The sequence below is a fragment of the Homo sapiens genome, chromosome 3 (assembly GCF_000001405.40).
Source record: "Homo sapiens chromosome 3, GRCh38.p14 Primary Assembly".
Taxonomy (NCBI): domain Eukaryota; kingdom Metazoa; phylum Chordata; class Mammalia; order Primates; family Hominidae; genus Homo; species Homo sapiens.
The window spans coordinates 159,268,543-159,282,230 of record NC_000003.12 but is presented as its reverse complement, the minus strand read 5'-3'; the positions used below and the strand labels follow the sequence as shown (position 1 = coordinate 159,282,230).

The following is a 13,688-nucleotide window of genomic DNA, read 5'->3' as shown; positions in this document are numbered from 1 at the left end:
TCTAGGGATGTAACAATATATATCAATATCCTTAAAAATGTTATATAAATTTTTATTATACTTACAGTAATCTCTTGTAAGGAAACAAAAATATGAAAATATATGAACACTCAATGTTGACATTGATAACTATAGTGGCATAGTTCAATAAATTATATGTCTATGTGATTTCATATTACTCATTCACACTGTACCATAAAACTTTAAGAAATTTTAATGACACAGAAATTAAAATATTAAGTTTTTAAAAGCACAGTGAAAAATGTTGAAAATATGTTTAAGAGCTATATTTATATATATTCATACTAATACCTAGTGTATACACATTTCGGAATCTCCAAGGAAATTCACTGAAATGTTAACAATAGGGGTCTTTGTTGGATTAATGGTGAGATATATTTTTTAACATTTCATATTTTCTAAAATGAATATACACATTACAACGATAAATGAATAGGCATTGCTATAAAATGAGACAGAGAATATTACAATGTAGTTTAGAAACAATGCCATTCAAAATGTGTTGACTGAAAAAAAAGTAACCGTCCATTATTGATAGATTTCATTTATACAGAAGCCTCATTTCCTGTCAGTTTTTGATAAATTAGTGATCACTGTACTTTGCTCTAAAATGTAAATAGCTCCCTTCTTCCACTGACACAGCACAGATTTGTAGGTCTTCATGAAAATACAAAATGTACATACATTAAGAAGTGTAAGCACATTCATTCAAAACTATACTTTTTAGCTCTTGACACTGAAAATTTATCATCTTTTAATATATAAAGCATATTATTTTTTAAATATATGTGCATATGTGTTTTAGGCGCATATGTGGAATCCTATGTATTTGAAAATAATTCTTGTCCAAATAAAGTAAACCACTTAGAATATTTCGGTGTAATTATGATCACATAGCTTAAACATTAATTACAGGGAATGAATAAATGTTTCCCCAGATTCTAGCAGGTCTTCCTGCCTTTCTCTTCCTTCCAAAATCCCAAAATGAAGTTCCAAGAGGATGTATTTCTTTTTCCTAGCTTCTAATTAGCCCAGTCTTTGGTTTAGTTGGCAAGGGCGACTTTTGCATAAGCAATAGCTCTCTTTCAAAAAAGACTGATGTGGGAGATTGTGAAAGACCTATAAAGGTCCTGTGATCTTCAGTAGGGTCCATCCAAGCACCCAAACAGAAGCCTCCACAGCCACGATTGCCCCACATGTCACATAGGGAATGTATTTAACACATGCAATCGTGGATTACTCCCTTCCCATCATCCCTTTTCTACTGGCACAAGTCAGAGGTGCTGTTCCAAGTAGAAAATGTGGGTTTGCACAGCAATTTAGAGTGTGCATTGCTTTTTTGTCTGTTTGTGGGACACTGGAAGATAGGCCTGGCACAGTTCATCCTTCGCAAGTGCTTAATGCCATCCCTGGGGACAGGAATATCACAAGCCCAGAAAAACACAGCTTTTAGCCACTTGGTGTTGAAAATTTCAGGCAAAATTCCAAAAGCCCTCAAAGCTAATGTTGAATTGACAAAGTGCCAAAACCTCTCTGGCATTAAATTTCCACTCTTTATTTTCCCCCTTCAGGTTAACAGCTTGTGAAAATAATAATGTGATAATGCCACCCTGTGTTCCAAATATCTCGAAGCACGATCTTGTTAAGCTTTCGTGTCCCTTTGAGACTAACGGGAATTGAGCCGACTTATTCATTTTACAGATGAGAAAACCCTCCAGGAGATGAGTCAAATGTCTGAGCGATGGCCCTGCAACTTATCACATAGGTCCCAGGTCTAGATTAAATTCTCCAAACAAGGCCAAGTGTTCTAGGAAAGGACCTGAAAAGCTCAGCTAGCATCAAAAAGGGCCAGAGAAAGATTCATAGAGATTACTAGGCAGGCTAGTATAATAAACCAGTGAAAGTGGTGGAAACACACATTCCAGGAGGGGCAACAAGGCATAGTCTAGGCATAGCAATAAAGCATAGTCTAGGCATGTGGCCAACTGGAGTCAACAAGAATCACCATGGTCATCAGAAGATCTAATGTGACATCAGGGGCATTTTACAACATCAGGGACACTGGAGTTTGGCTTTTCTTTTTTAGTTTATCTGAGACCCTCTCATAATTACAGAATACACTGCTATGCATATTACAGTAAGCACCAGGACTCTACCCCCCATTATAGAAGAAATTCCCTTCCCTGAATTCTAGCAATCAGGCCTGAATGCATGATCTAAACCAGTCAATGGCATGGCCCAGTTCAGGACTTTGGATCTGGAAGAAGTGTCTCAGAAAAGTGAGGGGTATTTTTGAACTGTGTAACCATTGCATCCAATGTACTGAGGCCAACAGCATTCCAATAATGTTGCCTCTTGTGTGTGCCTTTCCATGGGTTTCTGGCCAACCAACTTCCTTTAGTTCCCTTTTTCTGAGCCTGATTCTCTAGCCTTCCTGTCAATTTAGTGAGTTATCTGTTGTGTTTCTAATAAATTATTTTTCAGCTTAAATTACCTAGGGTCAAGTTCTATAGTTTGCAACCTGAAGACTGAAATTAGCAATGGTCAAGGCTGCAGTAAAATTAACATCAAGCAGATCTAGCAGGCTATACCAGGTTTACAGCAACAGGAACTGTGGGTTTGGAGGAAGAAGTCTTCCCACAGTAGAACAGAAGTCCAGGTATGGCAGAAAGTACTAAGTGCTCTAAAATCTATTTTATTTTCTTATTTCTATGTAACCTGTAGGATATTTCTCAGCCTCCCTTGCAGTTAGGTATGGCATGTGTATTAGTCCATTTTCATACTGCTATGAAGAAATATCCGAGACTGGGTAATTTATAAAGAAAAAGAGGTTTCATGAACTCACAGTTTCACATGGCTGGGGAGGCCTCACAATCATGGCAGAAGGTGAAGGAGGAGCAAAGGCACACCTTACATGGCAGCAGGCAAGAGCGTGTGTGCAGGGGAACTGCCCTTTATAAAACCATCAGATCTCATGAGACTTGCTCACTATCATGAGAACAGCACAGGAAAAACCTGCTCCCATGATTCAATTACCCTCCATTGGGTCCTCTCATGACACATGGGGATTATGGGAGCTACAATTCAAGGTGAGATTTGGGTGGGGACACAGCCAAACCATATCAGCATGTGACTGGGTTCAGTCAAAAGAATGTGAGTTGAGTGATGTGTGCCTCTTTCAGAATGGGCCCACTAGAACCTCCCACATGTGCCCTTTTTCCTTTCTATTTTGCTAGAAGGGAGACAACTGTAAGGTGGTCTTGAGAGCCATGTGTTGAAGATGGCATAGCTCCCACCATCCTGGGTTCTCTGAATGACTATATGAAGAAGGGTCACCCCACTGTATTGCTTCCCCTTTCAGTACTGATGCCTAAACAGGAAAAAAACTGCTGTTTGTGAGCTATTATACTTTTGGGGATCCCTTCGTTACAGCATAGCCTAGATTCACCATGTATGATAAATTAATCAAGCAAAGATTCAAATTCAGAGCAGGGCCAGTATCTATGCTGACTTGATATTGACCCCTTGAATTGATGGTCTACAGCTTCAGGATTTCTCCCAATTTATAAAAGAATAGATGACAATTGGAACAGAATCTTTAAAGGTATATGATGCAGCTATAGCTATACAGATTGAAAGGATACAGGCGAAAGAGCAAAAAAGCTCATTAGAGATTTGACAGTCCTAAATAGAATCATAGAATTGATTAGTGATCAATGAATTCTAAATTTTTCATTTCTTTTTTATGCATTGTAGTATCTCTATGCTAGAGATAATGAAAAGATAAATTATAACTCCAGTTCTGCTTTTTTCTCCTTTAACCTAGTTTTCCCTTCTCAAATAGATCCAAGTGATGCATCTTACTCTCCCTCCTGGGTTTTTCCCAACTCCTGAGGTTTAAAATAAAACCTACCTGGGGTTTTATTTCCCAGTTTTCCCCTTACTCCTTTTCAAGTGGGTGGTTTCTCAAGGAGCTCAGGGAGGATTAATCATCTCAGTTCTTGTAATCACAAGAGTATGTACCCAGTACATATTTGTTGAATGAAGAAATTATTGCTTTCTTTTTTAAATGAGATGACACTGCACTGATGACCCTTATCCATGTCTAAGTTGGAAAAGACCTTAGAGATCACATAGCCCTTCTGCTACACATGCACACACACCATTAGGGAGTCCCCTTCTATAGCATCTTTTATGTGGGTCATCCAGTGTGACTCATCTTTCTGGTGATGAGAAGCTCAATGCTTTATTCCTATACCGTTGAAAAATAGCTCCATCCTTTTTTTTTTTTCTTTTGAGACGGAGTTTTGCTCGTTGTCCAGGCTGGAGTGCAATGGTATGATCTCGACTCATTGCAACCTCCACCCAGTGGGTTCAAGTGATTCGCCTGCTTCAGTCTGTAGCTGGGATTACAGGCACCTGCCACCATGCCCCACTAATTTTTGTATTTTTAGTAGACAGGGTTTCATCACTTTGCCCAGGCTGGTCTCGAACTCCTGACCTCAGGTGATCCACCCACCTCAGCCTCCCAAAGTGCTGGGGTTACAGTCGTGAGCCACTGCACCAGCCTGTAAATATTATTTTTTAATTTCTCCATAAATCTTCCACTGATTGCTCAGTGTTGAGGTCCCTTACTAGTCACATATTCTGATAGAAATTCCCTTGCCCAGGGGTCAGTAAATTGGTTTCTAGCTCCAAATTATTATTCCATTCACAGGTCTTTATCTTCTCCACCAAGACATCAGAAAAAATTCTTCCAAGCCATACTAAAGTCCAGATACAATGCTTGTATTTATATTTCCAGGAATCTTAACAAAAATGAAACATAAGCAAATTTGTATGAATTGCACTAAGGCACTGAAGCTTTATATTCTTTTATATCTACTGTCACATCATTAGGCTGAGTCTGTCTTTGACTGCTTTTAAAAATAGATATTTACTATATCATGGGTAATCAATGTACATGCTTTCTATACCAACATTGTATTCTACACAGTACAGTTCCATCAGTTTCAAAGCACACAAAATGAAACCGGTGGAGAAGTGGGGTTTTTTTTTCCTGCCATTGTGGTGCACAGGAGTCAGAGATCGAGCACTAAAACAGCATTCCAGAGAAGCATGCTACTGAGGTCAATCCAGAATGTTGGATTCAAAATGTGTATTGCATCAAGATGGGTCTTATTAATGGAATCAGGCACTGTGTGATGTAGTGAGTCAACTCCAAAAGTGTAGATGAGATGGTGTGAAAAATCCAAGATGAGAGTCAGAATTACAGGACAAATTAGGCAAGATGGAAGTGGGCTGACTTCGTCCCTAGGACTGGCTGCCTGGATGTGTACTTGTTCTTTACATGCTGCAACTTAAGTTTACTTATGGGGGAGAGTAAAATCCATTTAGAGGGACTGGAATTTGAAAAATTAGTCAAAGTGAGAAAAGCATCATATCCAGACATTTCTATTTGGATAATATTCCTGGACTTTCAGCAATGTGTATATCTTGCATGAAAAGTCCCTAAGCTCTTTTCTATTCTCTGGAAAAGGTAAGATTACTCCATCATTTCTAGTAATATTTAATGTAAATCTCAAATCAGTCAGGTCATACCTAGTTAGGTCCATCATGTAATACAAAGTAGGAATGTACCTTGCAAATAAAATTGGGACAGAGAAAGGAATAACAGTAAAATGTAGTAACTGAGGACAAAAATCACTTGATAGAAAGTTTTATGATGAATCATCAATCTATAGTGATTCTCTGGGATGCTAGGGTACCTCTCTTGAGCCTCTAATGTCCACTGTGCCCCTTGTAGTGTTAGAGACATACTAAACAAGCCTAGAACCCATTTGGAATCAATCAGCATCCTGCTCACTGAAATAACCCCAAGGATCCCTATGTCCCTCTAAGAAGCTACCATTTAGGACCTTCTTGCAACACATTTCAGTTTCAGGCTCTTCCCTACTGGAACTTCTCCTGTTGGGACTGTAGCTAGGGGAGTTGCTTCTACAGGAATATGTGATGGAGACTGATGCAACAGAGATGAGACTGAATACCTTGGATGTAAGAACTATTTCCAAGATGAACTAATCTTTCTTAGTGCCAAAAGGGTTAAAATCAGCAGTAAAAACCACACCCGCCAATTAGCTGCCTCTATATTCAGCCACCCTGCAAAGCATCCTAACTAGGGTGGCTTTCATAAATAAATATGCCCCTACATTCTTTGTAGCCAAAGGTTATAAATCCCTTGCAAGGGTGGGTGGACCACAGTAAAGAGATCTGGGAGCATATTTTTACATTGGCAAGAAAAGCAAAATGTCACTCAACTAAATTTAAGATTGTTCACATACATCTGCTACCACCAGAATGTTATTTAAAAAAGAAAAGAAAGAAAGAAAAAGAAATGTGAATATCTAACAGTTTAGCTCTGAACATTTTTCTACTGTTCAGGTGACTGTTTCAATAATGATTGAAAGGCTATCAAAACAGAAGCAAACATGTGCTTGTAGTTTGTCATACAGCAACAATTTCTGCTTAAATAAATACATAGACAACAATATCTCAACTACAGAAAAATGTGTGTGCTGGATAATAGTTATAAATATATCACTAAAATGTTTGGAAAAAAAGCAGCAAATATAAAAGTTACACTTCTGACAATATCACAAATGAGTCACATCCTTCAGAGAGACAGAGACAAAGATCAAATAAATTTCTGAATCAGAATAAAATCTGACACCATTTCACAGCAAGCAGATGCGTTTTATGACATGAGTCTTGGATTCTTCTGGATTAGAATGTACAATTTAATAAACCAGAATGATTTGTTCAAAGTTCATCAGGGGCTGCAAATGGATACAGTTTGCCATAAGGGAACAATTTAAGTTTAAAATCACAGAGGTACATGCAATGGTGTGTGAAAAGTCCTACTTACCTATTAAACCAAAGCAGAATAATAAAATTTTGGGAAATGAAACTTAAAAAAACTGAAATCATAAATCTACCTTTCATTCTTTTCAAAAACTGAGGCCTTTTAAATACTGACATCAATTATGGAAATTATCAGTGGATCTATTGAGCAAAGATGACAAAAATGTATACTAAGGTCTCCTTTATATAAAATTGTTACATCCTCTAAAATTATGCACTTCATACACTGTCAAAATGTAAGTACCATTTATCCCAAAATCAAATGCCAAATTACTGAAGAGTTAAGAAGCAACAGTAATTCACTTGGAAATTATCCATAACAGAAAGAATCCATTATATTTGAATTGGAGGTCAAGCTGAGTAAATTGCATTTACTACTGGTTTTTAAATATGAAGAAAACTACTAAAGGAAATAAATTTTATAATACAATTATATAAAAATATATTTTATTAGGCTTTAAAATAAATGATTCTGCATAAATAAATGTTCCAAACTAAGTTTAATTGGCCTGAGAAAAGAATCATGATTTGTTAAAGTTACTTTTTAATGACAATATGTTCTCTTAGAAAAAAATTTGAATAGCTAATCAAAATATCTGTTGGGGTCATTCTGGGTAGTAATTCAAAGTATTATTTCTTCGTTGGTTGTGTCATATAATAATATCATAGAACTACAAATTTGATAGTCTAAAAGATGGAGTTAAAAGATGTTTTTGAAGAAACCATTTTTTTTATTTCTGGTTTGAAGATTTAAATTGAACATTTTGAAACTAATTATTTTCAATAATGCTAAAAGTACTATTTCAATAGCCCATATATAATTTTATAAAATTGTCTGTTATTTCTACTTATAATAAGCTGCCACTCTATACATTTCATACCAATAAATTTGAGATTTTTTAAGTCATCAAATATCTCCCATGTATTGACATTAGAATACCTAGACATTTGTTCTTTTGGTAACTGAAAGTATAATCTAAATTGAAAAAGTTTAACACTGATCTTCCCAAACTGTACAAATCAGGAACTACTTTCCAAAGAGAGTCTTGTGCATACAAAGGGCAACAGATTGTACATTTGGAACTATTTACATGTGTATATTAAAATGCTATTTCCAAAGTCCACTGCAATGCAATTAGTTTTGGTGCACTACAAAAAAGAACACTCAAACTTAGATTCTCAAAATTCAAAGCACCAAATATCCACATACTAACTATGCAATGAGAAAGTATTTTTTTCAAATGAACATTCCAATATACCTTAAATGCTTAATTCTGAATTTAAAAATGTAATGAAGGCCATCAGCTTAAATTTAAAGTTACTTAGTTCGACTTTGAAGTTTTCTCTCTTCATTTGTAAAAATATGATACACCTAAAATAGATGGTAGACATTTGTAAAACTTACACTGTCAGAGTGCTTGCCCTGGTCACAGTCCCACGTTGTAACACGCTGCCCGGACCTCTCCATGGTGCTGAAGAGTTACTCTTGCCCATTTGAGAGGGAAGAGTTGTTTATTCAAATTGGCTTTGAAAGAAATCCGTAAAGGGTCACCTGGGTTAGCTAGTAAGGTTGTCTAAAAAATTTCTATAACACACACTAAATAAGTGATGCTTTTGCCCTTCGGTTATCAACCACCATGCTCAAGCAGCTCAAAGTAGATTTTGGAGCAGAAATCTTCAAGTATTGGCAAAAAAGAGCGAGAGCTTTTTGGGAGATGAAGTTTGCTGATTTTTGCCAGTGTTCTTCAAATTGATAAAACACACAGAGAAGACAAGGCTACTCGGAGAACAGAGGATTCCAGAAAAGTTCTTGATCTTAATGCAGAAAAGAAGATCCCATTAGTCCAAAGCAGCCGATTCACTTCATGCTATCATCTGATCTACTTTTCGATTAAAAATAATACAATAAAATAGAGTTAAGAATTCCACAAGGCACTGCACACACCATGTAAACAGGTCTGCCTCATTCTCGCCCCAGCCTCGGTCTGCTGAAGATTATCACAGCAGAAATCAGGCTCTGTGGCTTTCACAGATTATCTCTTTCTGAGGCTGAAACGTATAAAGAGCCACATGACACCCAATGATGTCATCTCTAAAGCAGGTCACAGTTGCTGCTGTATATAGATAAAGTCCTTCTAGTGAAGTATTTAGCATAGTGATTTTCTTGAAAATCTACTTATATTAAATAGCATGGTCTTCTATCAAAATACTTAACCCTATCGATACAGTGCCATGAAGAGAAAATCAATTTGCTGCTCATATGTGAGATGAAGCCTCCCCTTTAAGCTAAGATCAGCTTCTGGTACTGCTTTAAAAAATGAATAACTGCCATTAATTTGTGGTGAATATAGTGAAGAAGGGCTTTTCCCTGGAGAAGCTGCTGTGGGAACTAGAGGCTCTCTAAGGATATAGAATCTACTTCTAAACACCTCTCAGAATATTTAGCATGTCCAAAAATTATTTTTTAATTCAATCCATAAAGATTGCAAAATAAAAATTAAGGAAACCATCTTCAACTTCTAACAACAGTTTATGTAACAAAATTAAAAAGTTATATAAACATAAAAACATCTTACTATCTCTGAAACGATTGGAGTATATTTTCAAGTGTTGGTTAAAGAAAAACGTTCTTTAACTCACTATTTTTAGATGTTTTTCAGTTCTGAATAAAGTAAAAATAGAAAATTAGCTATATTATTACTAATCTGCACACCTAACTGGTAATTCATAGTACACATATTCTTTTAAAGAATGTTTAAATGAGCAATGTCCATGATCATTCTTTGCAACATATTTTTCTCTTTCTATTTAGTCATATGCCATAATTTATGATTTTCAGCCATAATTGTCATTTATGCCAGTTAATAAATTATCTAATCCCCTTTCATGCCAACTAAACAATTCTTATAGCCCAAGTGAAGAATAACTTGAAACTAATCTAATTAGTGCTTATTAAATGTATTCCCTCCCTTAAGGCCAAATGGATCAAACAAAAGCAGCTTTCCTTTAAGAGCACAGTATTCTGTCATATTTTTGAGAAAAAACCATAAATCTGAGGAGAAAACAATTTTCCACACAACCAGTGCCACTGAACAAATTCTATTAAAGCAATGGTGATTGTTCTGGCATCTCATCAGGAAAATATTGCCTCACCAGCTTCTCACCGCGTATCTAAAATATCCAAATAAAAATTGAGAATGCTAAAATATCCAAATAAAATATCCAAATAAAAATTTATTTGGATAAATTTTTATCCAAATAAATTTATGCTAAATATCCAAATAAAAATTGAGAAAAATATCCAAATAAAATTTGGAATATTTTATTCCAAAGGCTAAAATATCCAAAAAAAAATTGAGAAAAAAAATTGATCATCTAAATGTTCTGATCCACTTCAGTTTCCTAAATAAAGCAGATATTTTTGGTCAATTTCTACAGTTTAGTATTTTCTACACTTTAACAATGATGAAGATTATCTGGGGAATTTTTAAAAATTTAAAAGTCCCTGTAATCCCAGCACTTTGGGAGGCCAAGGCGGGTGGATCAAGAGGTCAGGAGTTCAAGACCAGCCTGGCCAAGATGGTGAAACCCCATCTCCACTAAAAATACAAAAATTAGCCAGGCGTGTAGTGGGCACCTGTAATCCCAGCTTCTCAGAAGGCCGAGGCAGAAGAATCACTTGAACCCAGGAGGCAGAGATTGCAGTGAGCTGAGATCGCACCACTGCACTCCAGCCTGGGCAACAGAGTGAGACTCTGTCTCAAAAAAATAAAAATAAAAATAAAAGTCCCAGGCTGCTTCTCAGATATTCTGACATGATAGATCTGTTGTGGTTCTGGAATATGCATTTTTATAAAAAGTTCCAAAAGTAATTATTATTTGGAAAACTCTAATTAATATATTACTATATAAAAAATCATATAAAAATCAAACTGACTAAAAAGTATTTGTGATTCTTAAAATGATTTTTTTTAAAAAGCCCAATTTTTGCTTCCTGAAGTATCCAGTGTTGGGCACCCCCTTCTTATTTTCTCAGGCTTCCATAAGAAAGCATTTTCCTAAAGACTCCTAGCCTCTGATTTCCATCCTTTTCTCCTCTCTACAAAGGTGGAAAGAGCTACACTGATTGGAGGATTAGGCAAAGGAACTGGGCATCTACAGCTCAGGATCACCCTTCCTCTGTCTCTGTGTGGGATCCAGCTCCCTGCACAGGATTCACACTGGCTTGCCCTGTGGGTGAGACTGGTAAGTTTCTCTCATTTCAAAGTTCAATAGTAAGATGTCAAATGTTGCCACAGTCAGAGTTACACCCTCCAATCCAGCTTTGACCGGAAATAAAGTTGAGATTTTGATCTCCCTCTGCCTAAATCTCTTATTTCTGAAAATAAGTTTCTAAATCAAGAAAGGAAAATGAGTTATTTATTGACTTTCTAAAACTCCATCTTCCAGTACTATTGTTTTGTTGATTAGATTTGTTTTTTATGTAAACCCTACGAGCCAGTTAATGCAACAAGTTTTATCTGTGAACTTAATAAAATTTTCATTTGCATAATACAGCTCTATAGATAGAGGCCTATAAAAAGGACATGTATATAAAACTTTCATTGGAAGTTTTGCTAAATGCATTGTTCAACTCATTAATTGCATTATTGAGCCACTTAGAGGAAAATTCGAGTTCTTGGAATTTTCCTTTAACAACTAGTAACTCTAAGATAATGTTTCTCAAAGTGTGTTCCATGGATCCATTAAGCCCAGTAAGATGTGACTCATTTCAGGTTTCATGCTCAAAGAAGCATAGAAAGTGTGAAAAAAATACAGCCTTCCTGCAGAATCAAAATGTGTAGAAACTTAAAAAGGCTCGAAGAAGTCGTAAAGTAAATAAATTGACTCATTTTACCTCTCTTCCAGTTAACATTTACCAACGTCCTGTAAAAGTAATATTTCAGGTACCACATTCAGAGAAATTCTGCTCTAGAAGATGTTTCAGCAGTAAGATTTTTCTTAATAGTAGCACCTAAACCTTCTATACAATTAATCAATTAATAGTTATCATTGCCTATGTTATCAACAGCTCTGTTACAAGAATTGACAACCATGACTGAGGAATTTGTAAATTCTGCAAGGGCATAGGTTGTTTTCTTTTGGTGATCATTGTATCCCCAGTGCTTGGCAAAGGCCTGGCACACAGTAGACATTCAGATAGTTGTTGAACGAGTGAATGAATGTAGACCTAATCCAGGGATGTGAATAATTATCCCCCACCCCGAAAGATGTCTCATTTACAAAAGACCCTTAGGCTAATGAGCTTTCCAGAAGAAATGTAATACAATGATACATCACTCTCCAGTTTCACTACATCTAATTTCTCCTCCGACCCTAAAGCGTCTTTTATACCCATTCAATGAGTGGAATGTTGGTTATGTTGGTTTTTTGTTTTTTTTTTTTGCAGATATAGTAGGTGCATATATTTATGGGGTACATGAGATGTTTTGATACAGGTATGCAATGTAAAATAATCACATTATTATCCGTTAAGTAATCACGGAGAATGGGGTATCCATCCAAGCATTTATCCTTGTGTTACAAACAATTCAATTATACTCTTATAGTTATTTTAAAATGTACAATTAAGTTATTACTGACTATAGTCACCCTGTTCTGCTATCAAATAGTATGCCTATTCATTCATTCTTTTTTTGTGTGTACCCATTACGTTAACTATTCTCAGTTGCCCCCCTCCAGGCTCCCACTCCCTTTCCAAGGCTCTAGGAACCATCCTTCTATTCTCTCTGCCCATTAGTTCAATTGTTTTGAATTTTTAGATTCCATAAATAGGTGAGAACATGCAATGTTTGTCTTTCTGTGCTTTGGAATGTTTATTTGTAATAATAAAACTGGATTTATTATGTAGGTGCACTCTGTGTCTAAATTAGAGATCTAACAATTTATCTCACCAAGCCATAGAATAAAAACAGAATTTATATGAGGACAAATGCCAAGAGTGGACTTAAGGTAAACTACACAGAAAACAAGTTATTTCTCAACTATCTTTATCAAAGGTGACATACTTGATGTCTAGATTTTCACATCTATACTCATAGGTCATTAAGTGTAGAGACTGCTAAGGAAGATTTATTATGTTACTATGGATGAATGAATCAGTGATCAATTAACTGTCAATTTTGCATATCGTTCTGAACTCACGCAATGTTTAATATTAGCAGTCCTTTTGAAAAAATTTTAAATCCCCAAACCAGAACAACATGTTTATTTTTAAACCTATCAAGAAAAATTACCCTCAAACCATGATGTTAAAAGGATAATTTGGGAAAAGGAATCTATATTATCAGCCAATATTTAGAGACATAAAAGGGAGAGGATGTTTGTGGTATAAAGATACTATTTTATATAAAAATAGATTTATGCATACTGTCATATATGTTTATATATTATATAATTTGTAAAACTTTGGAAAATGAAATACTCTCTCAGGCTCTGGTTTGAAAGAAGAGGAATGTATCTACTTCTAAGTAAATACTAAGAAGTCTTCTCTTTTTATATATGGTTAATATATTCTCAGAACCAAAATTTGGAACAAATAGACAAAGAATTTGTGCTATTTGGGGGTCTGAAAGGAAGGATGAAAGATAATGTTTGGGTACTAAAACATTAGAATTCATGAGACCTAAATTTATAACAGCTGAGCTTAATACTGTAACCTGTCCCTGACCTGGAAAATCTAGGTT

At 35.7% G+C, this 13,688-nt stretch overlaps 2 protein-coding genes across 7 annotated transcripts in view, besides 1 other annotated feature; both read right to left on the bottom strand.

Moving 5' to 3' along the window:
- The window catches only part of SCHIP1 (schwannomin interacting protein 1), a 624,116-nt gene extending 615,129 nt beyond the window's left edge, over positions 1–8,987 (bottom strand). For all 3 annotated transcript variants that reach the window (NM_014575.4, NM_001197107.2, NM_001197108.2), the window contains exon 1: positions 8,348–8,987. In NM_014575.4, the coding sequence (NP_055390.1) occupies positions 8,348–8,410 (63 nt within the window). In that variant the 5' untranslated portion in view covers positions 8,411–8,987. The remainder of the gene's footprint in view (positions 1–8,347) is intronic.
- Positions 1–13,688, bottom strand: part of IQCJ-SCHIP1 (IQCJ-SCHIP1 readthrough) — an 828,041-nt gene that overhangs the window by 615,129 nt on the left and 199,224 nt on the right. The gene's annotated exons all lie outside the window — the stretch shown is intronic.
- Positions 8,304–8,504: a silencer, noted in NCBI's record as "peak4886 fragment used in MPRA reporter construct". NCBI's record gives its function as "represses an SCP1 promoter by STARR-seq MPRAs in K562 erythroleukemia cells {active_cell/tissue: K562}" and the evidence as "EXISTENCE:reporter gene assay evidence [ECO:0000049][PMID:32103011]".